Below are 26,477 nucleotides of genomic sequence, written 5' to 3' on the forward strand. Positions count from 1 at the left end.
AGGCTGAGGCAAGAGAATGGCATGAACCCGGGAGGCAGAGCTTGCAGCGAGCAGAGATCGCGCCACTGCACTCCAGCCTGGGGGACAGAGCGAGACTCTGTCTCAAAAAAAAATAAATAAATAAAAAATAAATTAAAAAAAAATTGTGTAAGATCTGCATATTGAAAACTACAAAATGTTGCTGAGAGAAATTCAAGAAGACCTAAGTAAATGGAGACATACTCTATATTCATGGTTTAGGTAACTCAGTACTAAAAAGACATCCATTCTCCCTAATTGTCATATAGATTCAACACAATTCCTATAAAAATTCTCAGCCAGGCACGGTGGCCCACACCTGTAATCCTAGCACTTTGGAAGGCCGAGTTGGGTGGATCATGAGGTCAGGAGTTCGAGACCAGCCTGACCAAGATAGTAAAACCCCATCTCTACTGAAAATACAAAAATTAGCCGGGCATGGTGGCAGGTGCTTTAGTCCCAGCTACTTGGGAGTCTGAAGCAGGAGAATCACTTGAACCCGGGAAGCAGCGGTTGCAGTGAGCAGAGATCATGCCACTGCACTCCAGCCTGGGTGACAAGAGAGAAACTCTGTCTTAAAAAAAAAAAAAATTCTGGCAGTTTTTTGGAAAGAAGTCGGCAAAACGATTCTAAAGTGCATATGAAAATGAAAAGGATGTAAAATAGCAAAAAAAAAAAACTTGAAAAAGAACAGAGTCAGAGGATTTATATAACCTATTTTTAATATTTAATATAAGATGACAGCAATCAGTGTGTGGTGGCACTCGCCTCCTCCCAGCTACTTGGGAGGCTGAGGCACGAGAATCGCTTGAACCCAGAAGGCGGAGGTTGCAGTGAGCCAACATTGCGCTACTACACTCCAGCCTGGGTGACAGAGGGAGACTCTGTCTCAAAGAAAAAAAAATGGTAACCAGGACAGTGTAACATTTGTGTAAGTATACATTAATTGATCAATGGAACAGAATAGAGAACCCAGAAATAGACCCACACTTCGTGGTTATTTTCAACAAAGACACCAGAGCAATCCAATGAAGACAAGTGCTTTTTAACTAATGGTGCTGGAATAAAGGGTATCCATATGGACAGAAAGGAACCATGACTCCTACCTCACATCATACACAAAGATTAATTCGAGATGGATTATAGACTTTAACATAAAACTAAAGACTTTAGACTATAGACTTTAACATAAAAACCAAAACCAATACTTCTGTGGAAAACATAGGCCGTCTTCATGACTAAAAGGTAGAGGAGGACATAGGAAAACCCTGTCTCTACAAGTAATTTTTTTTTAATTAGTCGGCCATGGTGGTGTATGCCTGCGGTCCCCAGCTACTCAGAAGGCTGAGGTGGGAGGATCACTCAAGCCTGGGAGGTCGAGGCTGCTATGAACTATGATCATACCACTACACTCCAGCGTGGGCAGTGAGCTATGATTGTAGCAATGCACTCCAGCGTGGGCAACAGAAAGACCTTGCTTCCAAAAAACAGGTAGATGAGGCCAGGCATCGTGGTTCACACCTTTAATCCCAACACTTTGGGAGGCAGAGGCAGGAGGATTGCTTGAGGCCAAAAGTTCAAGATTTGCCTGGGCAATATAGGAAGAACGCACCTCTACTAAAAATTTAAAAATCAGTGGCCAGGCCCAAGGGCTCACACAGGTAATCCCATAACTTGGGGAGGCCAAGGCAGGAGGACTGCTTGAGCCCAGGAGTTCGAGACCAGACCTGACAACATGGTGAAACCCCATCTCTACAAAAAATACAAACATTAGCCAGGTGTGGTGGCATGCACCTGTAGTCCCAGCTACTCGGGAGGCTGAGGTAGGAGGATCGCTTCAGCCTGGGAGGTAGAGATTGCAGAGAGCTGAGACTGTGCCACTGCACTCCAGCCTGAGCAACAGAGACCTTGTCTCAAAAAAAAAAAAAAAAAAAGGAGGCTGAGGTGGGAGGATCACCTGAGCCAGGGGAGCTGGAGGCTGCAGTGAGCTGAGATTGTGCCACTGCACTCCAGCCTGGGTGACAGAGTAAGCTCTTGTCTCAAAAATCTCATCTCAAAAAAAAAAAATCGGGGCTAGAGGTGGTGGCTCACACCTGTAATCCCAGCACTTTGGGAGGCCTGAGGCAGGTGGATCATTTGAGGTCAGAAGTTCGAGACCAGCCTGGCCAACATGGTGAAACCCCATCTCTCCGTCTCTACTAAAAATACAAAAATTAGCCGAGTGTGGTGGTGGGTGCCTGTAATCCCAGCTACTTGGGAGGCTGAGGCAGGAGAATCACTTGAACCCAGGAGATGGAGGCTGCAGTAAGCCAAGATCACACCACTGCACCCCAGCCTGGGCAACGGAGCAAGACTCTGTGTCAAAAAAAAATTAGACATGGTGGTGCACATCTGTAATCCCAGCTACTCAGGAGGCTGAGATGGGGGGATCACTTGAGCCCAGGAGTTTGAAACTACAGTGAGCCACTTCATTCCAGCTTGGGTGACAGAGCAAGACCCTGTCTCAAAAAATACATATATTTAATTTAAATTAAAATTTTAAATAAAAATTAACTTGAAGATGGGCACAGTGGCTCACACCTGTAATCCCAGCACTTTGGGAGGCTGAGGCAGGAGGATTGCTTGAGCCCAGGAGATCAAGACCAGCCTGGGCAACATAGTGAGACTTGTCTCTACAAACAACTTAAAAATTATCCAAGTGTGGTGGCGCGGGCCTGCAGTCCCAGGTACTCAAGAGGCTGAGAAGGGAGGATCGCTTAATCTCAAGGGATCCCAGGAGGTCGAGGCTGCAGTGAGCCACTGCACTCCAGCCTGGGAGGCAGAGCAGGACCCTGTCTCAAAACACACACACACACACACACACACACACACACACACACACACACACACACGCAAACAAAAGAATACCCAAAACAATCTCCAATAAGAACAAAGCTGGAGACTTGACTTGTATTTAAGACTTATTCTAGGCCAGGGACAGTGGCTCACACCTGTAATCCCAGCACTTTGGGAGGCCAAGGCAGGAAGATCACTTGAGCCCAGGAGTTCAAGGCCAGCCTAGGCAACATAGCACAAGACCTCTGTCACTACAAAAAATTTAAAAATTAGCCTGGTGTGGTGGTGTGCGCCTGTGGTCTCAGCTACTTGAGAGGCTGAGGTAGGAGGATCACTTGAGCCCAGGAGGTTGACGCTACAGTGAGCCATGATCATGCCACCACACTCCAGCCTGGGCAACAGCACAAGACCCTGTCTCAAAATGAAAAGAAAAAGACTTACTCTAAAGCTGTAGTAATCAAGACAATGTGATATTGGTCTAAGAATGGGCATATAGATTATAGATCAGTGAAACAGAATAGAGTCCAAAATTGATCCACACTTACATAGTCAATTGATTTTTGACAAAAATGCTAAAGCAAATCAATGAGGAAGGGAAACTATTTCAAAAAATGGTGCTAGAACAACTGGATATTCATGTGGAAAAATAATGAACCTTGACTCATGCATCACACTATACACAAAAATTAATTTGGGATAGATCATAAATATAAATATAAAAGTTAAAACTGAAAACATCCCTTTAAACTTTAAAAAATTAATCAGAGAAGAAGGAGGGAGAAATGCAAATCAGCCAAGCTTGCCGCACATTCACTATTAATCACAAGGTCAGCTTGCTCTCTGAGCTGCTTCTTCATGGTTATTTGGTGCCTATTGTCTTAGAATCACATAGATGCTGTTACAAGATTGCAGTTGCCTTCCCCTGCTCTATAGATAACAACTTGAACTTTAAGAAATGCTGGCTGGGTGCACGCGGTGGCTTATGCCTGTAATCCTAGCACTTTGGGAGGCCGAGGTGGGCGGATTGCCTGAGCTCAGGAGTTTGAGACCAGCCTGGGCAACACGATGAAACCCCGTCTCTACTAAAATACAAAAAAAATTATCCGGGTGTGGCAGCGTGCACCTGTAATCCCAGCTACTCAGGAGGCTGAGACAGGGGAATCATTTGAACCTGGGAGGCAGAGGTTGCAGTGAGCCGAGATCGCACCACTGCACTGCAGCCGGGGCGACAGAGTAAAACTCTGTCTCAAAAAAAAAAAAGAAAAAAAGAAATGTTAAGTTTTCCCTTTGAGATATTCCTTCAGGTCCTGCATACTAATGAAATTACTGACACGGCTGGTCTGAAGAACCCCATGAGAAACTGACTCACCAAAAAACGCAGTTTCCACATCCTGATAATTTCATCCCCTTGCCCTGATCAATCAACGACCTCAGTTTCTCAGCCCCTCACCCGCCATCGTCCCCTTAAAAATCCCAACCCAGAACTCCCTGGAGAGTTGGATTTCAGCGTCTGCTTCCATCTCCTCCTCGGCACCCTGTGATTATTAAGCTCTCTCTCTGTTGCATTTCTGCTGTCTCAGAATGGGTATGTTATTGTACAGTGGGCACAGAAAACTGTTGGTCCTGTAACAAAACTGTGAAGAGTTTGGAAGAAACCATAGAATATTTTCAGGACTTGGGGGTAGGCAAAGATTTCTTAGCAGGACTCAGAAAACAATAACAATTAAAAAAAAAAATACGGGCCAGGCACGGTGGCTCACGCCTGTATTCCCAGCATTTTGGGAAGCCAAGGCGGGCAGATCACCTGAGGTCAGGAGTTCGAGACCAGCCTGGCCAACATGGTGAAACCCTGTCTCTACTAAAAATACAAAAATTAGGTGGGTTTGGTGGTGGGTGCCTGTAATCCCAACTACTCGGGAGGTTGAGGCAGGAGAATCACTTGAACCCGGGAGAAGGAGGTTGCAGTGAGCCGAGATCACGCCATTGCAGGCGTCCAGCCTGAACAAGAGCAAAAACTCCATCTTGAAAAAAAAAAACTATACGATAAATTAGGCCAGGCCCGTTGGCTCACGTCTGTAGTCCCAGAACTTTGGGAGGCCAATATCGGTGAATCGCTTGAGCCCAGGAGTTTGAGACCAGCCTGGGCAACATGGTGAAACCCCGTCTCTACAAAAAATAAAAAATTAGCTGGGTGTGGTGGTGCACGCTTGTGGTCCCATCTACTTAGGGGGCTGAGGTGGGAGGATCACTTGAGCCCAGGAGGCTACAGTGAGCCATGATTGCACCACTGCACTCCAGCCTGGGTGACAGAGCAAGATCCTGTCTCAAAAAAAAAAAAAGAGAAATATGATAAATTAGACTTTATCAAAAATTTAAAATTCTGCTAATCAAAAGATATATTTAAGAAAACAAATAGGCCAGGTGCGATGGCTCAAGCCTGTAATCTCAGCACTTTGGGAGGCCAAGGCAGGTGGATCACCTGATGTCAGGAGTTCAAGACCAGCCTGGCCAACATGGCAAAACTCTGTCTCTACCAAAAATACAGAAATTAGCCAGGTGTGGTGGCACATGCCTGTAGTCCCAGTTACTTGGGAGGCTGAGGCAGGAGAATCGCTTGAACCTGGAAGAAGGAGGTTGCAGTAAGCTCAGATCACGCCACTGTACTCCAGCCTGAGCAACAGAGTGAGACTCCATCTCAAAATAAATACATAAATAAATAACCAAGTTACAAGTCACACTTTGAGGAAACATTCACAAGAGTTATTACTAACAAAGGACTTATAACCAGTAATATATAAAGGACTTTAGCCATTTAATAATTTTAAAAACTGGCTGGGCACGGTGGCTCATGCCTGTAATCCCAGCACTTTCGGAGACCAAGGCGGGCGGATCACCTGAGGTCAGGAGTTCGAGACCAGCCTGGCCAACATGGTGAAACCCCGTCTCTACTAAAACTACAAAAATTAGCCAGGCGTGGTGGCGGGCGCCTGTAACCCCAGCTACTCGGGAGGCTGAGGCAGGAGAATTGCTTGAACCCAGGAGGCAGAGGTTGCAGTGAGCCGAGATCGTGCCATTGCACTCCAGCCTGGGGGACAAAAGCGAGACTTCGTCTCAAAAAAAAAAAACAAAACTGCCCACACATGGTGGCTCACACCTGTAGTCCCATATACTTGAGAGGCTGAGGCAGGAGGATTGCTTGAGCCCAGGAGATTGAGGCTGCAGTAAGCTATGATTACACCACTGCACTCCAGCCTGGGTGACAGAGCAAGACCCTGACACAAAAGAATTTTTTTACATAATAATAATAAAGACAACTCAATTTTAAAATGGCGTAATAGGCTGGGTATGGTGGCTCATGCCTGTAATTCCAGCACTTTGGGAGGCTGAGGTGGGAGGATCACTTGAGCCCAGGAGTTTGAGACCAGCCTGGGCAATATAGTGAGACCCCATCTGTACAAAAAAATTAAAAAATTAGCCAGGCATGGTGGCATGTGCCTATAGTCCCAGCACTTGGGAGGCTATAGTGGGAGGATTGCTTGAGCCCAGGAGGTTGAGGCTGCAGTGAGCTGTGATCACACCATGTACTCCAGCCTGGGCAACAGAACAAGACTCTGTCATAAAAAAAAATAAGTGTTTTAAGCCACTAAGTTTCTGATAATTTGTTGCAGCAGCAATAGGAAATGAATGCACCCAGCAAAAATGAAAACATATGCTGACAAAAAGATGTGGAAAATGTTTATAGCAGGTTTTTTGTTGTTGTTTTGCTTGTTTTGTTTTGTTTTTGTTTTTTTGTTTCTGTTTTTTTTTTTGAGACAAAGTCTCACTCTGTAGCCCAGGCTGGACTGCAGTGGTGCGATCTTGGCTCACCACAACCTCTGCCTCCCAGGTTCAAGCAATTCTCCTGCCTCAGCCTCCCGAATAGCTAGGATTACAGGCACACACCACCGCACCTGGCTAATTTTTCTGTATTTTTAGTAAAGACGGGGTTTCAGCATGTTGGCCAGGCTGGTCTTGAACTCCTGACCTGAGGTAATCTGCCCGCCTCAGTCTCCCAAAGTGCTAGGATTACAGGCATGAGCCACTGTGCCTGGCCAGCAGTTTTATTCATAGTAGCCAAACAACATACATGTCTGTCTGTGATGGTGGGGGGATTAACTGAGAAGAGAGAGGAGAGAATGTTACGGGAAAGTAAAATATTTTGGCCCGGTGCGGTGGCTCACACCTGTACTCCCAGCACTTTGGGAGGCCAAGACAGGTGAATCACTTGAGGTCAGTAGTTCAAGACTAGCCTGCCCAACATGGTGAAACCCCATCTCTACTAAAAATACAAAATTAGCTGGGTGTGGTGGCATGTGCCTGTAATCCCAGCTACCTGGAGACTTAGGCAGGAGAATGACTTGAACCCGGGAGGCAGAGGTTGCAGTGAGCTGAGATCATGCTACTGCATTCCAGCCTGGGCAACAGAGTGAGACCTTGTCTCAAAAAAAAAAAAAAAAAAAAAAGTGAAATATTTTGTATCTTGACAGGTACATCAGTGATCAATGCCTTCCAGGCAAAGATTAGAAGCATAACTGTAGCCGAACAAAGTTGGTTTTTTGCTGGTTGTCATGAAAGAGAATACGTATCATGGAAAAGCATAGGGTGTCTCAAAGAGGGTGATAAGAAGGATATAGGATTTGGACTTGTGTTAGGTGGTTTTGGGGAAGGCTTAGGGACTGAGGCTTTGCTCTGGATTGGATAACCTCATGTGATCCACCTGCCTCAGCCTCCCAAAGTGCTGGGATTACTGGCGTAAGCCACCACACCCGGCAGTCTTGATGTTTTTGGTGCACTTTATCAGGGTCACAAAGCGACCTTGTCTGATTGTTGATGTTTGATGATGTTGTTTATGTCCACGGGAGAATGGCACGGCCTCGCTGTAAGCACCAGGCCAGCTTCAAACATGCCAAGGCCTAGCTATAAGGATCAGGCCAGTTCCTGACATTAGGAGCTGCTTTTCTCTTTCTCAGGGGTATGAGTTACATGGTTGTATCCATCATCAAAGGGTAGAGTTAAAATTTGTGTATTTCAATGTCAGTTTGACTCAAAAATGCCTGTATAAAAAATGAATAAACAGACCGGGTGCGGTGACTCACGCCTGTAATCCCAGCACTTAGGGAGGCCAAGGCGGGCGGATCACTTGAGGTCAGGAGTTTGAGCCCAGCCTGGCCAACATGGTGAAACCCGTCTCTACTAGAAGTACAAAAATTAGCTGGGCGTGTTGGCAGGCACCTGTAATCCCAGCTACTTGGGAGTCTGAGGCAGAAGAATTGCTCAAACCAAGGGGGTGGAGTTTGCAGTGAGCCAAGACTGTGCCATCACAGCCTGAGCGACAGAGTGAGACTCTGTCTCAAAAAAAAAAAAAAAAAAAGAATCAACAAACTGTGGGCTGGATGCAATGGCTCATGCCTGTAATCCCAGCGCTTTGGGAGGCCAAGGTGGGCGCATCACTTGAGGCCAGGAGTTCGAGACCAGCCTGGCCAACACGGTGAAACCCTGCCTCTACTAAAAATACAAAAATTAGCTGGGCGTGGTGGCGGGAGCCTGTAATCCCAGCTACTCAGGAGGCTGAGGCAGGAGAATCACTTGAACCCAGGAGGCGAAGGTTGCAGTGAGCTGAGATCGCATCACTGAACTAGAGTGAGACTTCATCTCAAACAAACAAACAAACAAACAAAAAAACCCTGTAATATATCCATATAACATAATACTACTCAGCAATAAAAAGGAACAAACTATTGATGCATGCAACATAATAGATGAATCTCAAAACACCATGCTGAGCAACAGAAGCCAGTCCCAAGAGTACATATGATATGATTCCACTTATCTGACATTCTAGAAAAGGCAAAATTATACTAAAGACCAAGAAGGGTGTTTGCCAGGGGGTTGACCACAAAGGGGCAGCATGTGACACTTTTTAGGGTGATGGGAAAGCTCCATTGCTTCGCTGTGATGTATATCTTTTTATCAAAACTCAGAACTCTGTATCTAAAAAGTGAATTTTGGCCAGATGTGATGGTTCATGCCTGTAATCCCAGCACTTTGGGAGGCCAAGGTGGGAGGATCACTTGATCCCAGGAGTTTGAGACCAGCTAGGCAACATAGAGAGGCCCTATCTCTACAAAAATAAAAATAAAAAATTAGCCAGGCATGGTGGTGCACACCTGTGGTCCCAACTACTTGGGAGGCTGAGATGGGAGGATCACTTGGGCCTGGGAGGTAGAAGCTGCAGTGAGTCATGATGGTGCCATTGAACTCCAGCCTGGATGACAGAGTGAGACTTTGTCTCAAGAAAGCAAAGTGAATTTTACTGTATGTAAATTATACCTCAATAAACCTGACTTAAAATAATAATCAAATTAGGGGTGGGGAGTGGACGTAGGTATCAATGTAACAAGAATGGCAGAGGCCGTGCCTGTAGTCCCAGCTACTTGGAAGGGTGAGGTGTGAGGAGTTTGAGTACAGCCTGGGCAATACAGTGAGACTTCATCTCAAAACAAACAAAAAAGGAATGGCAGAATGCTGATGACTATTAAAGCTCAGTGATGGGTACACTATGGTTTATTATACTTTTTTTTTTTTTTTAATGAGACAGAGTTTCACTCTTGTTGTCCAGGCTGGAGTGCAATGGCATGATCTCGGCTCACCTCAACCTCCGCCTCTGGGGTTCAAGTGATTCTCCTGCCTCAGCCTCCCGAGTAGCTGGGATTACAGGCATGTGCCACCACACCCAGCTAATTTTGTATTTTTAGTAGAGACGGGGTTTCTCCAGGTTGGTCAGGATGGTCTCGAACTCCCAACCTCAGGTGATCCGCACCCCCTCAGCCTCCCAAAGTGCTGGGATTACAGGTGTGAGTCACTATGCCTGACCTTGGTTTATTATACTTTTATGTTTATTTTATATGTTTGAAGTTTTCCATACTAAATATTTTTTATTTTAGTGGAAGGGGAAATCTCTGTGTGATGGAGGCAAAGATGTCAAAGAGTCAGTTGACTGTTCAGCCTCCCAGTGTACTTTTTACACATTAATAAATGGATGCCCGTAGATTCTCAAACTGACCTTCTGCTTTTCACACACTTAAATTAACTAGAACTTAAACTATTTCCTTTGACATTTCTTGCAGATACTCTTCAGAATTTCTTACTCTCATTTGATTTGTAACTTTCATACATTTTGCCCCATTTTGAGGCCTCCTTAATTCCCTCAGCTTGGGTATCCTCTCTCATTTAATATTTCTTCATTTTTAAAGATGCCCTTTTCCTCACAATGGGCTCTTTGATATGTCAGTAAACCATGCAGGGCTTATTTCTCAAGTGACTGTTCTCTTGGTCTGGTGCCATGCATTTATCACGGGCTTCCAATAAAGCACTTTTCAATAGAAATGGGCTCCCTGCTTTCTATGGGCTGTAACTTCTTAAACAATTCCTTTCATTTCCCCCCCTACTGCCCTGATTCTGTCCTAGTTTCCCTTTCAAAAACTGAGCAATCAAATGATGGATTTTTGTCCCCTCCCTTTCCCGGTAGCAGCCTGAATGTGTATTGTAGTCACCACTGACCAAGTGGCTTACCCATGAGCACTCGCTGCCCCGGTGTGATCACTGCGCAGACCCAATCCAGCCTACAGTATTCTGCAGTGTGGGGTCAAGTATTGCCCAAGCATCCAGCATTCTTGGTTGTGTCAGTCCTCACCTCCATATTGCTTTTAAGTTTTATTTATAATTGTATATGTTTACGGGTTACAGTGTGATGTACATATTGCAGAATGATCAAATTAGGCTGATTAGCATGTCCATCCCCTCAAATATTTATCGTTTCTTTGTGGTAAGGACATGTAAAATCCTCTCTTTTAGCTATTTTGAAGTATACAATACAGTATTATTAACTAGAGTCACTGTGCTATGCAATCAAACACCAAAACTTATTCCTATCTAACTGAAACTTTGTACCCGTTGACTAATATCTCCCCTTTCCCCGTCCACTGTGTGCCTCCCACCTTCGTATTGTTCACTGGCTCATGATCACCTGTGGGATAAAATCCAAACTCTTCATGCCTATTACAATGGCTAAAATGAAAAGACTGGTCAGACCAAGTGTTGGTGAAGATGAGAAGCAACTGAAACTCACATACTGCTGGAGGGAGCGTAGAATGATGCTGCTACTTTGGAAAGCAATTTGGCAGTTCCTCTAAGTGTTAACCATAGAGTTACCACATGACCCAGCAACTTCACTCCTAGGTATATACCTAAGAGAACTGAAAACACATGTCATCACAAAAGCTTGTACACAAATGTTCACAACATTAGTCACAATAGCCAAGCACTGGAAACAATCCAAATGCCCAAGCATAAGTAAATGGATAAGCAAATCATGGTATAGCCACACAATGGGATGCTACCCGGCACTAAGAAGGAACTACTGATGCACACAGCACTGATGAATCTCAAAACAATTATGCCAAAAGAAGTTGGACTAAAAAGAATGCATACCGTATTATTCCATTTATATAAAACTCTAGAAAATGCAAACTATCCTGACAATGCCTAGCGTCAATAGGCCCACACTGCCCTGCAGGAGGCCCACCCATGCCAGGCACCAAGTAAGGAGTGTTCTAGTGAGCCCTTGTGTCTACAGGGCTACATGTCTACAGGGCTACCTCCTCAAAAACAAGTCTCTTATGGGATCTTTATTTTTTATTTATTTATTTATTATTATTATTATTTTTTTGAGCCAGGGTCTCTCACTCCATCGCCCAGGCTGGAGTGCAGTGGCGTGATCTCGGCTCACTGCAACCTCTGCCTCGTGGGTTCAAGTGGTTCTCCTGACTCAGCCTCCTGAGTAGCTGGGATTACAGGCATGCACCAACATGACTGGCTAATTTTTTCTATTTTTAGTAGAGACGGGGTTTCACCAGGCTGGCCAGGCTGGTCTCGAACTCCTGACCTCGTGATCCGCCCGCCTCGGCCTCCCAAAGTGCCGGGATTATAGGCGTGAGCCACTGTGCCCGGCCTCTTAGGAGATTTTTTTTTTTTTTTTTTTTTTTAACCAGATGGAGTCTTGCTCTGTCACCCAGGCTGGAGCGCAATGGTGCGATCTCGGCTCACTGCAACCTCCGCCTCCGAGTAGCTGGGATTACAGGCATGCACCACCATGTGTAGCTAATTTTGTATTTTTAGTAGAGACCAGGTTTCTCCATGTTGGTCAGGCTGGTCTCGAACTCCCAACCTCAGGTGATCCACCCGCCTTGGCCTCCCAAAGTGCTGGGATTACAGGCGTGAGCCACCACGCCCGGCCTCTTATGGGATCTTTTAAGCTGCTCTATCTTGTCTGCAAGCATCTAACATGCCTACATGATAGCTGTTTCCTGGTCTGTTTATTAATCAAAACAGAAGTGGTGCTTCAAGAAAGTCACTGAGACTTAAAACTGTTGTTGGCACTGGCTGCAAGGGGATTCTGGTTTTCAGGGAAGGGGATTTGTGTCCCTATCAGGAAGTTTGTTAAATTAGGAAAAGGTATCTTCAGCCAGCAGCTTCCAAAATCCCTTGAAAAACCCTTTGGTAGTAGTAGTGGTGGTCGGGATTATCTGATGAACCATTGGGCTGGTGGGTAGATTCGAGGCTATGGTGCACCTGGAGACCAACCCTGGAAGATGGGTTAAACCTCTTCAAAGCTTTCCCTGAGTGATGGCTGGGCCCATACAGCCACCCCTGTCCCTTTTAACCTTCTCCAAGTGACCTCCTCAGGCACGTGTAGTGGGACTTGAAATGTTCCTTTTTAGCTTCACTTGAAAAAATAAAAGAACTTAATTTTTTGACATCAGCCAGTTTCATAACCTGACATTTTTATTTTCCAGTAAAACTTCTTCAAGATGCCCTGACTAGTCTCACCCCTCCCTGACCCCACAACTCACCTCTGGGCCACTTGAGCCTTCATTCATTTCTCTTGCCCTACACTTCCCTAGAATTCAGTCTGGACACGATTTACCACTTATGGAATAGTTGTTGTTCTGGATTCAATGTATAGCTTTGGTTTTGTTTTCCCAACTCGACTGTCAGGTGGTTAAGGGCAAACTTTGAGCCTTGTTTCTCAGAGCTCTTATTAGCAATGATCCTTGAGCAGCTAATGAATGATTATTGATTGGAAGGTATGTTTTAACCTACCAAGGTAGGGACAGAGCTGGCAGGCACCAAGATCCACTTCTACCTGCATGTTTTTATTCACATGCTCTTTTATAGATTCCTCGGGTTTCCCCAGAGTCCATGGGTGATCTTGGAGTATGTATTACGGAACTAATTTGAATCACGAGGAAAGAAGTTGGCAAAGAGCCCTAGCTGAAAAAGTAACATTTTAGGGCCAGAAAATCACTAAGATCGTAGAGGAAACCTATTGACTAGCTGGCCTCAGTGGGAAACAGAAAGGCAGGAGCTACTAACATTTCACAGTGGAATCCAGGTTAAACAATCACAAAGCGTGTGAACATGGGCAAACCACTTGACATCACTCAAGCCAGCAGAAAAATTGGATAAAAAGCAATCTTTGAAATGAGCCAAGGCCGTGCTGAAACAAGCTTCCCCAAACACTGCTTCTTTCTGCCAAAGCAAGCTTCTATTTTATTGGTGGCTCAGACTCCAAAGTTCACTTCCCAGGACTAACAGTTAAGTGCATATTTGGAGTTGTCATCAGCTGCCACCTCGTGGTCTACATTACAACTGCCTATCAATACTGAAGGTGGTTTAGAATTCTGTGTTGTTTAGAATTATCATCAATCTCATTTGACCAATTTTTTAAATTTTTTTTTTTTTTTTTTTGAGATTGGGTCTCACAATGGATGGTTTCGAACTCCTGGGCTCAAGTGATCCTTCTGCCTCGGCCTCCTGAGTAGCTGGGACTACAGGTGTGTGCCACGGTGCTCAGCTTCATGAGACCAGTGATTATTATTGAGTCTTGCTCTGTCGCCTAGGCTGGAGTGCAGTGGGGCACAATCTCAGCTCACTGCAACCTCTACCTCCTGGACTCAAACGATCCTCCTGACTCAGCCTCCCAAGTAGCTGGAACTACAGGTGAGCACCACCATGCATGGATGATTTTTTTTTTTTTTTTTTTTTTTTTGTGGAGACAGGGTTTCACTGTGTTACCCATGCGGGTCTTTAACTCCTGGACTCAAGTGATCCGCCTATCTTGCCCTCCCAAAGTGCTGGGATTAAAGGTGTGAACCACCATGCCAGGCCCCATTTAACCAATTATTGTCCATTTGTACACAGTGCTTACCCCACAGTACTACACAAATATGATTCCCAAGTCCCCGGAACCCATAAGATGCACTTCCAATTAGCTACCAGCTTTTCTGGCTGAAAACATTACCTTGGGCCTGTCTTGAGCCACTGGTTGGTTCAGAGCTGGTATCTCAAATGCTTTAACCACCTCCATCCCAGTAACTTGTATTTACTGCAAGCAGATAGTCATGGTGACTGATCTGCAAGCCAAGGTTGGTGTCCTGCCCAGCAAAAGTCCACAGGATTGTCACAGCTCTCACTGGCATTGTGCCAGGTATATGTTTGCAGTCCCTTTCCTGTACCATGGTAAGATCACACTTGATCACCGGAAAACTGTATACACACCTCTAGTCCATTTAGTCATGCCATAAGATGACGGATCACCACTCTGAGTCCAAGGAAAACTACAACTCATTCCTTCCTTAAAGGAACCCTGGATAGCAAAGCTCCTACTGCCCAGTATTTATCCTTATTATGTTAAGACATAAAAATGTTGGTTGGGCACGGTGGCTCATGCCTGTAATCCCAGCACTTTGGAAGGCCAAGGTGGGCGAATCACCTGAGGTCAGGAGTTCAAGACCAGCCTGACCAACATGGGGAAACCCCATCTGTACTAAAAATACAAAATTAGCTGGACGTGGTGGCAGATGCCTATAATCCCAGCTACTCGGAAGGCTGAGGCAGAACTGCTTGAACCTGGGAGGCGGAGGTTGTGATAAGCTGAGATCACGCCACTGCACTCCAGCCTAGGCGAAGAGCTAGACTTCATCACAAAAAAAAAAAAAAAAAAAAAAAAAAGAATTTCAGATGACTTTCAAATGTTTTGGTCCTTTTCTGAGACAGGGTCTTGCTATGTTGCACAGGCTGGTCTCAAACTCCTAGCCTCAAGCAATCCTGCCTCAGGCTCCTGAGTAGGCGTTAGCCACTTTGAACAGTGGTTTTTGTGCATTGTTTTCTCCCTTGATTCTTGTCAACAAACGCTGAGCCTTGAAGACTTAGATTAGTAACGTTGGCCTAAACACCATTCCTGTGCTTCTTCTCCATAAATTGAAGGATTCCAAGTGCACCATTTCCTTGGTCGTTACCTTTCATCCTCCCTCCCCAGTACTTCTTATAGTTCCTGACAGCAGGCACAAATCACGACTCCAGGCCAACCAGCAATTTTCCCACCATGCTGAGCTGAGGCAGCATGGCTGGTCTAAAGAAGGGACCCAGTTTTCCAACTGCAGCACCATATGGGACACCACTCTGCAGGGAGGCACTGCCTAGAGAAAGCAGGGCACACGCCAAAGCCAAGTACAGCAGCAGCCGGTGTCACCCAGGACAATGACAACTCCCCAAACCAAGCCTGTACTGCCCCATTTACATTCTGACACTTAAACTGTTCCTGTTCAGGCTGCACAATGCAAACAAAATGGACAAAAGATTAAGGTTTTTTGGCTGTAAGTTTATTCAATGCAAAAGAATCCTCTCCAATTTTACTGAGGTGGCTGACCACGTCCACGACCAAATCCGCCTCTCTGTAAGAGAAAGCACATCACATCAGCATGAGCGGCACTCTGGTTTGATCTTTGGAGGTTTTGCTAACTTTCAGGCCTCATTATAACTCCAGAGGCCCCCAAATGTAAACAGCTGGGAGAGAGCTGAGTACAGGCTATAAATCCCAGCACTGCCCCTTACTGGATGTGGGGCCATATCTAACATCTAGGCCCATTTCTTCATTGGTAAAGTGGGAGTATGGCCACCCACCCAGAGTGTGTTCATACATACTCCTATGAAAGCATCCAGCACCAGGATTGGACCGTTTCTACTGTACATGCTTCCTTTTTACAAATGACATTATCTGAGAGCAATCGTGTGCTATGAGGACCTGCCATAGGACAAAAATGATATGCCAGTACTATGCCTGGATTAACTAATCTCACAACTACCTTAGTAGCTGTAATTATCACCTTATTTTATAGATGGAGAAACTGAGGCAGAGGGGAACCTACCTAACATTACATCAACTGAAAAAAGATGGAGGATTTGATTTCATACCATCTTGGTTCTTAAGCCCACCCACCTTCCAGTGTTTAGTTCAATGTCAAGCATTAATGAAACAGAAAATACTAGTAGGCCACATGTACTGATTTCTGAGACTCATTTCAGTAATTTATGTATTTACAAAAGTTTGCATGCTACAACTCAATGTAAAATTTGGAATTTGGAAAAAAGTGGGAGGAGGGAACTGGTTGACAGGACCCACCCATACTATATGACATCCCCACAACTTGCAGAGCAACCAGACTGAGGCCAGAACAAGTGATGGCTCATGGAAAACAAATAGGAAGATACTCACAAACTGGAATTCGGTTGCTGACCCAGCCCCAGCCTCGGCTTTCTTGTCGGCACCAGCTAGAAAGTGAAACATCGATTTAGAATCATCATATGATCTAATCTACTATAGAACAAGGGAAGACAACTCACTGACTCCAATCTTGCAGGAAAAGCCAAGTACCACTCCGTTAAATATAAGCAAATTACACCAGTGGTGGGGAATACCTTCTGAGCCACCTTTGTCTCTCCTGGGGCACCCTTCTCAGCCTTCCTTATGTCACCCTTCAATACTCACAGCCCAAACTATAAATCCTCCCAAAGGATTCCTACTTCCTATCACACTGACTGACTTACCCACTTCACAGCAGCATCTAGATAACAAAGGGAGTGTAATTATGGAAGAACTAACATGTAAAGGGAAGGGCCCACAAAAGCCTTAATTACCACCATGGGAGAAAAGCAGACAAGATGCTGCCCGGTCCTATATCCCAGTCACAGTTCAAATGGAGACGTGTGCAAAATTCACCAGTTTTCTTTTACTTATTTGAGACAGGGTCTTACTCTGTCACCCAGGATGGAGTGCAGTGGTACGATCTCAGCTCACTACAACCTCTGCCTCATGGGCTCAAGCGATCCTCCCACCTCAGGTGGGACTACAGGCAGCTAATTTTTATATTTTTTGTTCGTTTGAGACTGAATTTCGCTCTTGTTGCCCAGGCTAGAGTGCAATGGCGCGATCTCGGCTCACTGCAACCTCCGCCTCCCAGGTTCAAGCGATTCTCCTGCCTCAGCCTCCCGAGTAGCTGGGATTACAGGCATGCGCCACCATGCATGGCTAATTTTTTTGTATTTTTAGTAGAGATGGGGTTTCTTCATGTTGGTTTCTCCAGGCTGGTCTCAAACTCCCAACCTCAAGTGATCCGCCCACCTCGGCCTCCTGAAGTGTTGGGATTACAGGCATGAGCCACCGCACCCAGCCCTAATTTTTATATTTTTTGTAGAGATGGGGTTCTGCCATGTTGCCCGGGCTGGTCTAGAACTCCTGAGCTCAAGTGATCTGCCTGCCTCAGCCTCCCTAAGTGCTGGAATTACGGGTGTGAGCCACTGCACCCAGCCAATTACAAAGACTTAAGAAAAAAAGAATGTAAAATATTTCACTACTCTTTATACTGATTACATGTTAAATTAACACGTTTAGATATTTTTTAAACCGATTTATTTGTATTTATTTACTTATTTTTTTTTTTTGAGACGAAGTCTCACTCTTGTCCCTGAGGCTGGAGTGCAATGATGCAATCTCAGCTCACTGCAACCTTCACCTCCTGGGTTCAAGCGATTCTCCTGCCTCATGCTCCGAGTAGCTGGGACTACATGTGCATACCACCACGCTTGGCTAATTTTTTGTATTTTAAGTAGAGACGGGGTTTCACCATGTTGTCCAGGCTGGTCTCAAACTCCTGACCTCAGGTGATCTGCCCGCCTCGGCCTCCCAAAGTGCTGGGATTACAGGAGTGGGCCACCGCGCCCGGCCCTGATTTATTTGAGTTGGTGCGGGGGGCAGGGTCTCACTCTGTTGCCCAGGCTGGAATGTAGCAACAAGATCATAGCTCACTGTATCTCAAACTCCTGGGCTCAAAACAATCCTCTTGCCTTGGCCTTCCAAGTAGCTGGGACTATAGGCACATACCACCATTCCCAACTCACTTTTACAAATATTTGATTAAATAAAAGACATTAGTACTCAAATAACCTGTTTCCACTTGCTTTTTCAAGTGTGGCTACGAGGAAATTTTGTATTAGATCTATGGCTCACATTGGGTACAAGAATAGGGGGAGGAAAGCAAATGCCAATAACGAATATGGTTTCAGTAATCGTTTTCTTTTCTTTTGAGACAGGGTCTTGCTGTTGCCCAGGGTGGAGTGCAGTGGCATGATCTTGTCTCACTGCAACCTCCGCCTCCCAGGTTCAAGCAATTCTCCCGCCTCAGCCTCCCGAGTAGCTGAGATTATTACAGGCAGGCACACACCATCATGCCCAGCTAATTTTTTAAAGTAGAGATGGGGTTTTACCATGCTGGCCAGGCTGGTCTTGAACTCCTGACCTCAAGTGATCCACCTGCCTCGGCCTCCCAAAGTGCTGGGATTACAGGCATGAGCCACTGTGCCTGGCCCATAATCGTTAAACTTCCAGTATCACCAACTTCCTCTGAACCAAGGGCTGGAGAAATTCATTCCTTCTACTACCCTGTATGGTACTCAGGTCAAGTGGTCACTTCTCCAAAAGATGACAGAAAAAAGCTAAGAGTGGTAGAAGTTAGTAAAAACTCTTCTTGTACACCTTGCTTTTGTATTACAATCAACAACGAGTGACTTTATCCGGGTGGGCGCGGTGGCTCACATCTGTAATCCCAGCACTTTGGCAGGCTGAGGCGGGCGGATCATGAGGTCAGGATATCCAGACCATCCTGGCTAACACGGTGAAACCCCATCTCTACTAAAAATACAAAAAAAATTAGCTGGGCATGGCGGCGGTCGCCTGTAGTCCCAGCTACTCGGGAGGCTGAGGCAGGAGAGTGGCGTGAACCCAGGAGGCAGAGCTTGCAGTGAGCTAAGATCTTGCCACTGCACTCCAGCCTGGGTGACAGAGCGAGACTGTCTCAAAAATGAAAGAAAATTAAAAAAAAAAAAAAGTTGAATCCTATTATTCCTTTGCAAAAATACTAACAAAAGCTCCACATTTTACCGAAGAGGTTTTTTTTTTTTTTTGAGACAGTCTTGCTCTGTCACCCAGGCTGGAGTGACAACTTTAACAATTACTGAAACCATATTTGTTATTGGCATTTGCTTTCCTCCCCCTATCCTCGTGCCCAGTGTGAGCCATAGATCTAATACAATGGCATGATCTCGGCTCACTGCGGCCTCTGCCTCCCAGGTTCAAGCAATTCTCATGCCTCAGCCTCCTAAGTAGCTGGGACTACAGACGCCCACCACCACACCGCCCTAATTTTTGTATTTTTAATAGAGACAGGGTTTCGTCATGTTGGCCAGGCTGGTCTCGAACTCCTGACCTCAAGTAATCTGCCCACTTCGACCCCCCCCCTCCAACCAAAGTGCTGGGATTACAGACATGAGCCACTGAGCCCGGCCTGAGTTTTGTTTTTTAAAAAATCCCAGCCTCCTCCTAATTCTCATCTATGAAATCACTGCATGAAGAAAGAAGCACAAAGGACTCCAGCTGTTCTGATGCTCTGCAGAGTGAAACCAAGAATCTTTCCTGGTCATTTTGTCATCATCAAGGGCTGAGCCCCACCCAGCCAGAGCCAGCTGTGAGAATCCAGACATTTCACCCCAACACCCCTAATATAGGTGATGCATTTACTCACGTGGCACAGCACTCCGTCTGTAGGTATCTCTGTCAGCTTCCCCTCTTGTGAGTCTCGCAGGTCGCTCACCCTCCAGACCTATGTAAATCAAACCACACTGTGAACACAGGGCAATGTGAGAACTCTGTCCCTTAAAGCCAAGAAAACTGGCATTGCTCTCCTGTTGTCACTCTCAGCAACCACTTGGTTAAGATGGGTTAATGGGGACAGGAACTCCTTAAACCTACAATGTCAGCTAGAAATAATTATTTCTCCATAGAAACTTATTGACAATCTTGGCTGCAAATCTGAAAAAAAAAAAAAAGGCTTCCATTTTGTTTCAACATAAAACTATTTTCCAATTATTGGACCAATCTAGGTATCTAGCTATTTCTATGAACATCTGAATAGCTAAACTTTTGAACCTGACCCACGTTAAGTGGAAAACTTAGTATATGCAAACAGAAAAGGAAGCATCCTAAGCTGAAAGTCCCAACTCCAATATTAAGTACATAATCTAGGGGTTACCAAGAATCGTTGAGTTCCTCTTGGGCTTCTTCACATACCTGTTAGGCTGTGGGATATATATTAAGGCAGAAACTTTATTATTTATTATCTTTTTGTGAGACGGAGTCTCACTCTGTCACCCAGGTTGGAGTGCAGTGGCGCGATCTTGGCTCACTGCAACCTCTGCCTCCTGGGTTCAAGCAGTTCTCTCACCCCAGCCTCCCCAGTAGGTGGGATTACATGCACGTGCCACCACGCACGGCTACGTTTTGTATTTTTAGTAGAAAGGGGGTTTCAACCTGTTGGCCAGGCTGGTCTCCAACTCCTGACCTCAAGTGACCCTCCCGCCTTGGCCTTCCAAAGTGATGGGATTATAGGCACGAGCCACCACGCCCAGGCTAATTTTTTTTGGTTGGTATCTTTAGTAGAGACAGGGTTTTACCATGTTAGACAGGCTGGTCTTGAACTCCTGGTCTCATGTGATCCTCCCGCCTTGGCCTCCCAAAGTGCTGGGATTACAGGTGTGAGCCACCACACCCTAAGGCACAAACTTTAAGAGCTACCTTAAAAAAATTATCATAAATGGCCAGACGCAGTGGCTCATGCCTGTAATCCCGGCACTTTGGGAGGCCAAGGCAGGTGATCACTTGAGGCCAGGAGTTCAAGAACAACCTGGCCAACATGGTAAAACCCTGTCTCTACTAAAATTACAAAAATTAGCCGGGTGTGGTGGTGCACGCCTGTGATCCCAGCTACCAAGAAGCTGAGGCAGGAGAATCACTTGAACCCAGGAGGCAGAGGTTGCAGTAAATTGGGATCGTGACACTGCACTCCAGCCTAGGTGACAGAATATAAACAAACAAACAAACACAATCAGTAACAATTTAATCAAGTATTTTCTCTAGCCAGTTACCCTGGAACTTACCCGGAGTCCATATGATTAGAATATGAACTATGTCTCCTTTTTTTTTTTTTGACACAGTGTCTTGCTTTGTTGTTCAGGCTGAGTGCCATGGCCACAATCACAGCTCAATGCAGCCTGGAGTTCCTGGGCTTAACCACAGGTGTGCACCACCATGCCTGGCTAATTTATTTTTTTGTAGACGGAGTCTCACTATACTGCCTTAGCTGGTCTCAAACTCCTGGACTCAAGTAGTCTTCCTGCCTTGGCCTCCTAAAGTGCTGGGATTACAGGAATGAGTCACTGCACTCAGGCAGAATGAACTCCTTTTAGAGCAGAAATAAATTAATCATGTAATGAGTGGCAAAAACAAATGTCAGGCCCAACTAAATCAGAATATATCAAGCACAGATAGGCACTGGTATTTTTTTCTCCCAGGAGATTCCAAGATGTAGTAGACAACTTTTGCTAAAAAGACGTATTATGGGCTGGGCGCGGTGGCTAACGCCTGTAATCCCAGCACTTTGGGAGGCTGAGGTGGTGGATCACCTGAGGTCAGGAGTTCGAGCCCAGCCTGGCCAACAGAGTGAAACCCCATCTCCACTAAAAATACAAAAATTAGCTGGGTGTCGCTCTGGGCGCCTATAATCCCAGTCTCGGGAGGCTGAGACAGAATTGATTGAACCTCAGAGGTGGAAGTTGCAGTAAGCTGAGATCGCACCACTGCACTCCAGCCTCGGCAACAGAGTGAGACTCTGTCTCAAAAAATTATGTCTACCTAATCACCAGAATCCCTTGGGGAGCTTTCATAACGAATTCCTGAGCTCCATAAGGTAACTCTCCAGGGGAACCTGGGCCCTCTGATGATCACATTTAGGAATCTGCGCATTTTTTCACCTCAACCTATGCTCTCTGCAGCTCCTACAGAGTTTTGTAACAAAGAACCATAACCTAGATAAAATACAGGCCAAGCACGGTGGCTTACCACCGCACTCCAGGCTGGGCAACAGAGCAAGACTCCGTTAAAAAAAAAAAAAAAAAAAAAAAAGCAACTGTGAGCTAGCAATGATCCCAAGAATCAGAAGATAATTCTCCTCACACCACACATGCATGCATATCCTTTCACATCGTGGTATACACCATCCGTTCTCCACTCCAGTTTCTAATTTCTTCTCCTGTTGGCAAGAAAACTACAACACTCTTGTTTCTTTCGAGGTGGTAAATGGCTTTGCTTTGGACTTCTCGGGAATAGTACAACGCACTCTGCGGGAAAAGTTACTCAATATTCTATACCACATGTATCTGGATGTTTGTACAGGTGTGGGTGAAGAAAGTGACAGACTATCTGTGCTTAAGGCCATCTCATGGATGGCCTGAAGAACTGAGTCTAGTTCTATTCCAAGTCCCAAGCCATGGGACAAAGGTTCTAGCACTTGACCAAATGCCTGCAGGCCAGAGCCCTCTAAAGCTGACATCAGCTAAGAATGCTTTTGTCCCTTACACAAAAGAAACTATCTTCAAATAGCTGAAGGGATTTGTGTGGGAACCATACCTTTAGGCCGAGGCCTGCCAGTCTCTGGACGGCTACGGCGTAGGGTGGCAGGCACAATCTCCGGGGGCAGATGAAGGTAATCACGGAGATACTGGATACCCTCATTGGTAAGGTACCAGTAGAAATGTCTCCAGGCAAACTGTTCCTTCACGTAGCCTCGGGACTTGAGAGACTGTAAGGCAGAAAACTACTGTTAAGGCGTTAAGTAGAAGCTTGGATCATCCTAGGCAAGTCTCCAGTCCCAGCCAGCCCTTCAAGTTAGCAAGCAGCCCCCGCAGTCCTGACCTCCCTTTTTGAACTTGCCTTGAACCTTAGGGGAAGATCCCTCCATCCCATTCCATCCCATCCCGGGATGGGATCCCGGGGAGGAAGATCCATCCCATCTTCCTCCTCACCCTCCTACCTGCATGGCCTTCATGACATGAAGGTTGGGCACATTCTTGTCTGCCAGCTCCGGGTGCTTAGGCATGTGGACATCCTTCTTGGCCACCATGACTCCCTCCTTAAAAAGGAGTTCATAAATGGCAATCCGGTTCTTCTTAGGCATCAACATCTGCAAGAAGGAGACGATTGTCAAGAGCACTTCTGAGTAACGAGGCCGGGGCCCGGTAATCAAGTTCTTGATCCTAAAGTGACCCACACAAAACCGTAGACAACATGCTGGTGGGAAGACTCAACTCCACAAAACAGATTCGGCAGAGGCCAGCTCCGTCAGTCCCCACCCCCAAACACAATTCAGGTGGAAAAGTTGACAGTATGTTAAAACCAGGATAGTGGTGCACATTCGCGCCAAACTTCCTTAAGTTCTCATCAATTACAAAGGTCAATGGGGGGGAGAGGAGCAAACCCTGTATTATCGGGAGCAGTTGGAGGCCATCAGCGACCGTACCCAGCGCGGAATCTCGCGGCTGTACCATAAGGTACGCAGGGAAGGCCCGGAGGGGTAAAGCCCCGGCTTCTTGAAGGCGGCAGACCCCAAACCAAAGGGCTAAGGCCTTCGCACCCTCGTCTCCTACCTACCACTTCTCCCCCAAACTAGAGCTCCAGTGCCAGGCAAGGAGGCAGTCGGGGGAGTCCTGTTCCCAAGAAAAAAGCGTGTCGGTGGGACACCGTCTCGCTAGTCTCACCTGGCAAGTCTCCGCCACTCACTGGCTTCATCCTCCCCCTCTCCCTCGGACAATCTTCGCCTACCAGCGGCCCCCTACCCCATAAAATAAGCCTCCAGCCCCTATCGCTACTCAGAAATCGGTGTGTGGGGAGTGGGAGAGAGGCCCCCTGCCCGCATCCTGGGGAGAAGCAGCCGCTAAGGCGGCAGGATAGCCCGGATGGGAGCCGATGGAACTCGAACGCCACAGAAACTCACCTCTGCGGCTGCAGGGTCCGGTACCGGGGCTGGAAAGGAAGGAGCATGCGCGGTGCTGCGTCTCTTCCGGGCTGGCGTGGACCCGCCCCCCGCCAGGACCCGCGGGGAGCCTGGGGTGGCCTCGGCGGTGCCTGAAGAACTGGCGGATCTGACCACGGAGCCTGACCGCCTGAGGGACTCACGCACGCACTAGGAAACCGCCGCCGGGAACTTCTGAGCTTGCGTGCTCTATCAGTACAGGGTCACTTATTTTGGGCTGTCGTTTTAGAAACGCTTCTTCTTTTTTTCCCGGCCAAAATCTATTATGCAAGTGATATATGCTCTTGGAGCAAGAAAAGAGAGAGAACATATAAATCAGATGACGATAAAAGACTAAAAACATAATCCCATCAACCAAAGAAAATAGCTATTAACATTGTGGTATACACTTTTCCAAATTCATATGCACTCACACAAGTAGACTTTTTTTTTTTTTAATAAAAAACAGAGGCCGGGCACAGTGGCTCACGCCTATAATCTCAGCACTTTGGGAGGCCGAGGTGGGCAGATCACAAGGTTAGGGGTTCGAGACCAGCCTAGCCAATGGTGAAACCCTGTCTCTACTAAAAATACAAAAAAAATTAGCCGGCGTGGTGGCGGGCGCCTGTAGTCCCAGCTACTCGGGAGGCTGAGGCAGGAGAAGCGCTTGAACCCGGGAGGTGGAGGTTGCAGTGAGCCGAGATCATGCCACTGCACTGCAGCCTGGGCGACAGTGAGACTCTGTCTCAAAAAAAAAAAAAAAATTGACTCAGCATTTTGGGAGGCTGAGGCAGGAGAACTGCTTGAGCCCAGGAGGTCCAGACTAGCCTAGGCAATGGTGAGACTTCATCTCTACAATTTTTTTTTTTAATTAACTGACTGTGGTGGTGCACGCTTGTAGTCCCAGTTATTGAGGAGGCTGAGGCGGGAGGATCGCTTGAGCCAGGAAAGTGGAGGGTGCAGTGAGCCGGGTTCGTGCCCCTGCAGTCCAGCCTGGGTGACAGAGCAAGACCCTGGCTCTATTTAAATAAAAAAAAAAAAAAAAAGAGGCTGGGCGCGGCAGTTCAAGCCTGTAATCCCAGCACTTTGGGAGGCCAGGGTGGGCGGTTCACCTGAGGTCAGGAGTTCAAGACCAGCTGGCCAACATAGTGAAACCCCATCTCTACTAAAAATACAAAAAAATTAGCCAGGTGTGTTGGCGTGCGCCTGTAATTCCAGCTACTTAGGAGGCTGAGGCAGGAGAATCGCTTGAACCCCGTATGCGGAGGTTGCAGTGAGCCGAGATCACTCCACTGCACTCCAGAGCTTGGGCGACAGAGCGACACTCCGTCTAAAAAGAAAGAAAGGAAAGTGGGGCCGGGCGCAGAGGCTCACGCCTATAATCCCAGCACTTTGGGAGCCCGAGGCGGGTGGATCACCTGAGGTCAGGCGTTCGAGACCAGCCTGGCCAACATGGCGAAATCCGATTTCTACTAAAAAAAAAAATACAAAAATTAGCCAGGCATGTTGGCGGGCGCCTGTAATCCCAGCTACTTGGGAGGCTGAAGCAGGAGAATCACTTGAACTTGGGAAGTGGAGCTTGCAGTGAGTCGAGATTGCACCATTGCACTGCAGCCTGGGCGACAAGAGCGAAACTCCGTCTCAAAAAAAAAAAAAAGAAAAGAAAAGTGGACCGGGCACGGCGGCTCAGGCCTGTAATCCCAGCACTTTGGGAGGCCGAGGTGGGCGGTTCACCGGAGGTCAAGAGTTCGAGACCAGCTTGACCAACATAGTGAAACCCCGTCTCTACTAAAAATACAAAAATTAGCTGGGCATAGTGGTGGATACCTGTAATCCCAGCTACTCACGAGGCTGAGGCAGGAGAATTCGCTTGAACCTGGAAGACAGAGGTTGCAGTGAGTCAAGATCTCGTCACTGCACTCCAGCCTGGGTGACAGAGCAAGATTCTGTCTCAAAAAAAAAAAAAAAAAAAAAAAAATTAGCCGGACATGGTGGCGGGTGACTGTAATCCCAGCTACTCATGAATCTGAGTTTTGAGGATTGCTTGAGCCCGTGGGTCAAGGCTGCAGAACCGAGATTGCCTGGCCAGCCTGGGTGACAGAGCAAAACTCTGTCAAAAAAAAAAGGCCGGGCGCGGTGGCTCACGCCTGTAATCTCAGCACTTTGGGATCCGCCAAGGCAGGCGGATCACAAGGTCAGGAGATCGAGACCATCCTAGCTAACACGGTGAAACCCCATCTCTACTAAAAATACTAAAAAATTAGCCAGGTGTGGTGGCGGGCACCTGTA

General features: G+C 46.6%; 2 protein-coding genes across 4 annotated transcripts in view, besides 3 other annotated features; both read right to left on the minus strand.

Annotated features, from left to right (window-relative positions):
* Positions 1-24,208, minus strand: part of RPS10-NUDT3 (RPS10-NUDT3 readthrough) — a 138,876-nt gene extending 114,668 nt beyond the window's left edge. The window contains exons 1-5 of the mRNA NM_001202470.3: positions 24,171-24,208; positions 23,211-23,360; positions 22,808-22,979; positions 19,869-19,946; positions 16,508-16,563 (exon numbers count right to left, since the gene is read on the minus strand). Coding sequence (NP_001189399.1) covers positions 16,508-16,563; positions 19,869-19,946; positions 22,808-22,979; positions 23,211-23,360 — 456 coding nt within the window. The 5' untranslated portion in view covers positions 24,171-24,208. The remainder of the gene's footprint in view (positions 1-16,507; positions 16,564-19,868; positions 19,947-22,807; positions 22,980-23,210; positions 23,361-24,170) is intronic.
* Positions 15,593-24,208, minus strand: RPS10 (ribosomal protein S10). 3 transcript variants are annotated; one of them, NM_001014.5, is made up of 6 exons: positions 24,171-24,208; positions 23,211-23,360; positions 22,808-22,979; positions 19,869-19,946; positions 16,508-16,563; positions 15,593-15,686 (listed from the first exon to the last, which is right to left on the minus strand). In NM_001014.5, exons 2-6 carry the CDS (start codon positions 23,358-23,360, stop codon positions 15,645-15,647), a joined length of 498 nt encoding a protein of 165 aa, NP_001005.1. In that variant the 5' UTR covers positions 24,171-24,208; the 3' UTR covers positions 15,593-15,644. The 3 variants fall into 3 exon arrangements, with proteins under 3 accessions (NP_001005.1, NP_001191020.1, NP_001190174.1); NM_001204091.2 differs by having other exon boundaries at positions 24,167-24,208; NM_001203245.3 differs by having other exon boundaries at positions 23,935-24,208.
* Positions 23,647-24,351: an enhancer, noted in NCBI's record as "NANOG-H3K27ac-H3K4me1 hESC enhancer chr6:34393285-34393989 (GRCh37/hg19 assembly coordinates)". NCBI's record gives its function as "activates a minimal SCP1, AML or CMV promoter by ChIP-STARR-seq in naive H9 embryonic stem cells {active_cell/tissue: H9 hESC(naive)}" and the evidence as "EXISTENCE:reporter gene assay evidence [ECO:0000049][PMID:30033119]".
* Positions 23,647-24,456: a biological region, named in NCBI's record as "NANOG-H3K27ac-H3K4me1 hESC enhancer GRCh37_chr6:34393285-34393989".
* Positions 24,137-24,456: a silencer, noted in NCBI's record as "silent region_17076". NCBI's record gives its function as "represses an Ori minimal core promoter by ATAC-STARR-seq in GM12878 lymphoblastoid cells {active_cell/tissue: GM12878}" and the evidence as "EXISTENCE:reporter gene assay evidence [ECO:0000049][PMID:35858748]".

This window comes from Homo sapiens, chromosome 6, assembly GCF_000001405.40.
Source record: "Homo sapiens chromosome 6, GRCh38.p14 Primary Assembly".
In the NCBI taxonomy this organism is placed as follows: domain Eukaryota; kingdom Metazoa; phylum Chordata; class Mammalia; order Primates; family Hominidae; genus Homo; species Homo sapiens.

Coding starts and splice junctions, on each gene's coding strand:
- RPS10 (NM_001014.5), bottom strand. CDS start 23,360: ATGTTGATGCCTAAGAAGAACCGGATTGCCATTTATGAACTCCTTTTT. Junction 22,980..23,210: donor ATGTCATGAAGGCCATGCAG/GTAGGAGGGTGA, acceptor TCTGCCTTACAG/TCTCTCAAGTCCCGAGGCTA. Junction 19,947..22,807: donor TGGCAGGCCTCGGCCTAAAG/GTATGGTTCCCA, acceptor TGATTTACATAG/GTCTGGAGGGTGAGCGACCT.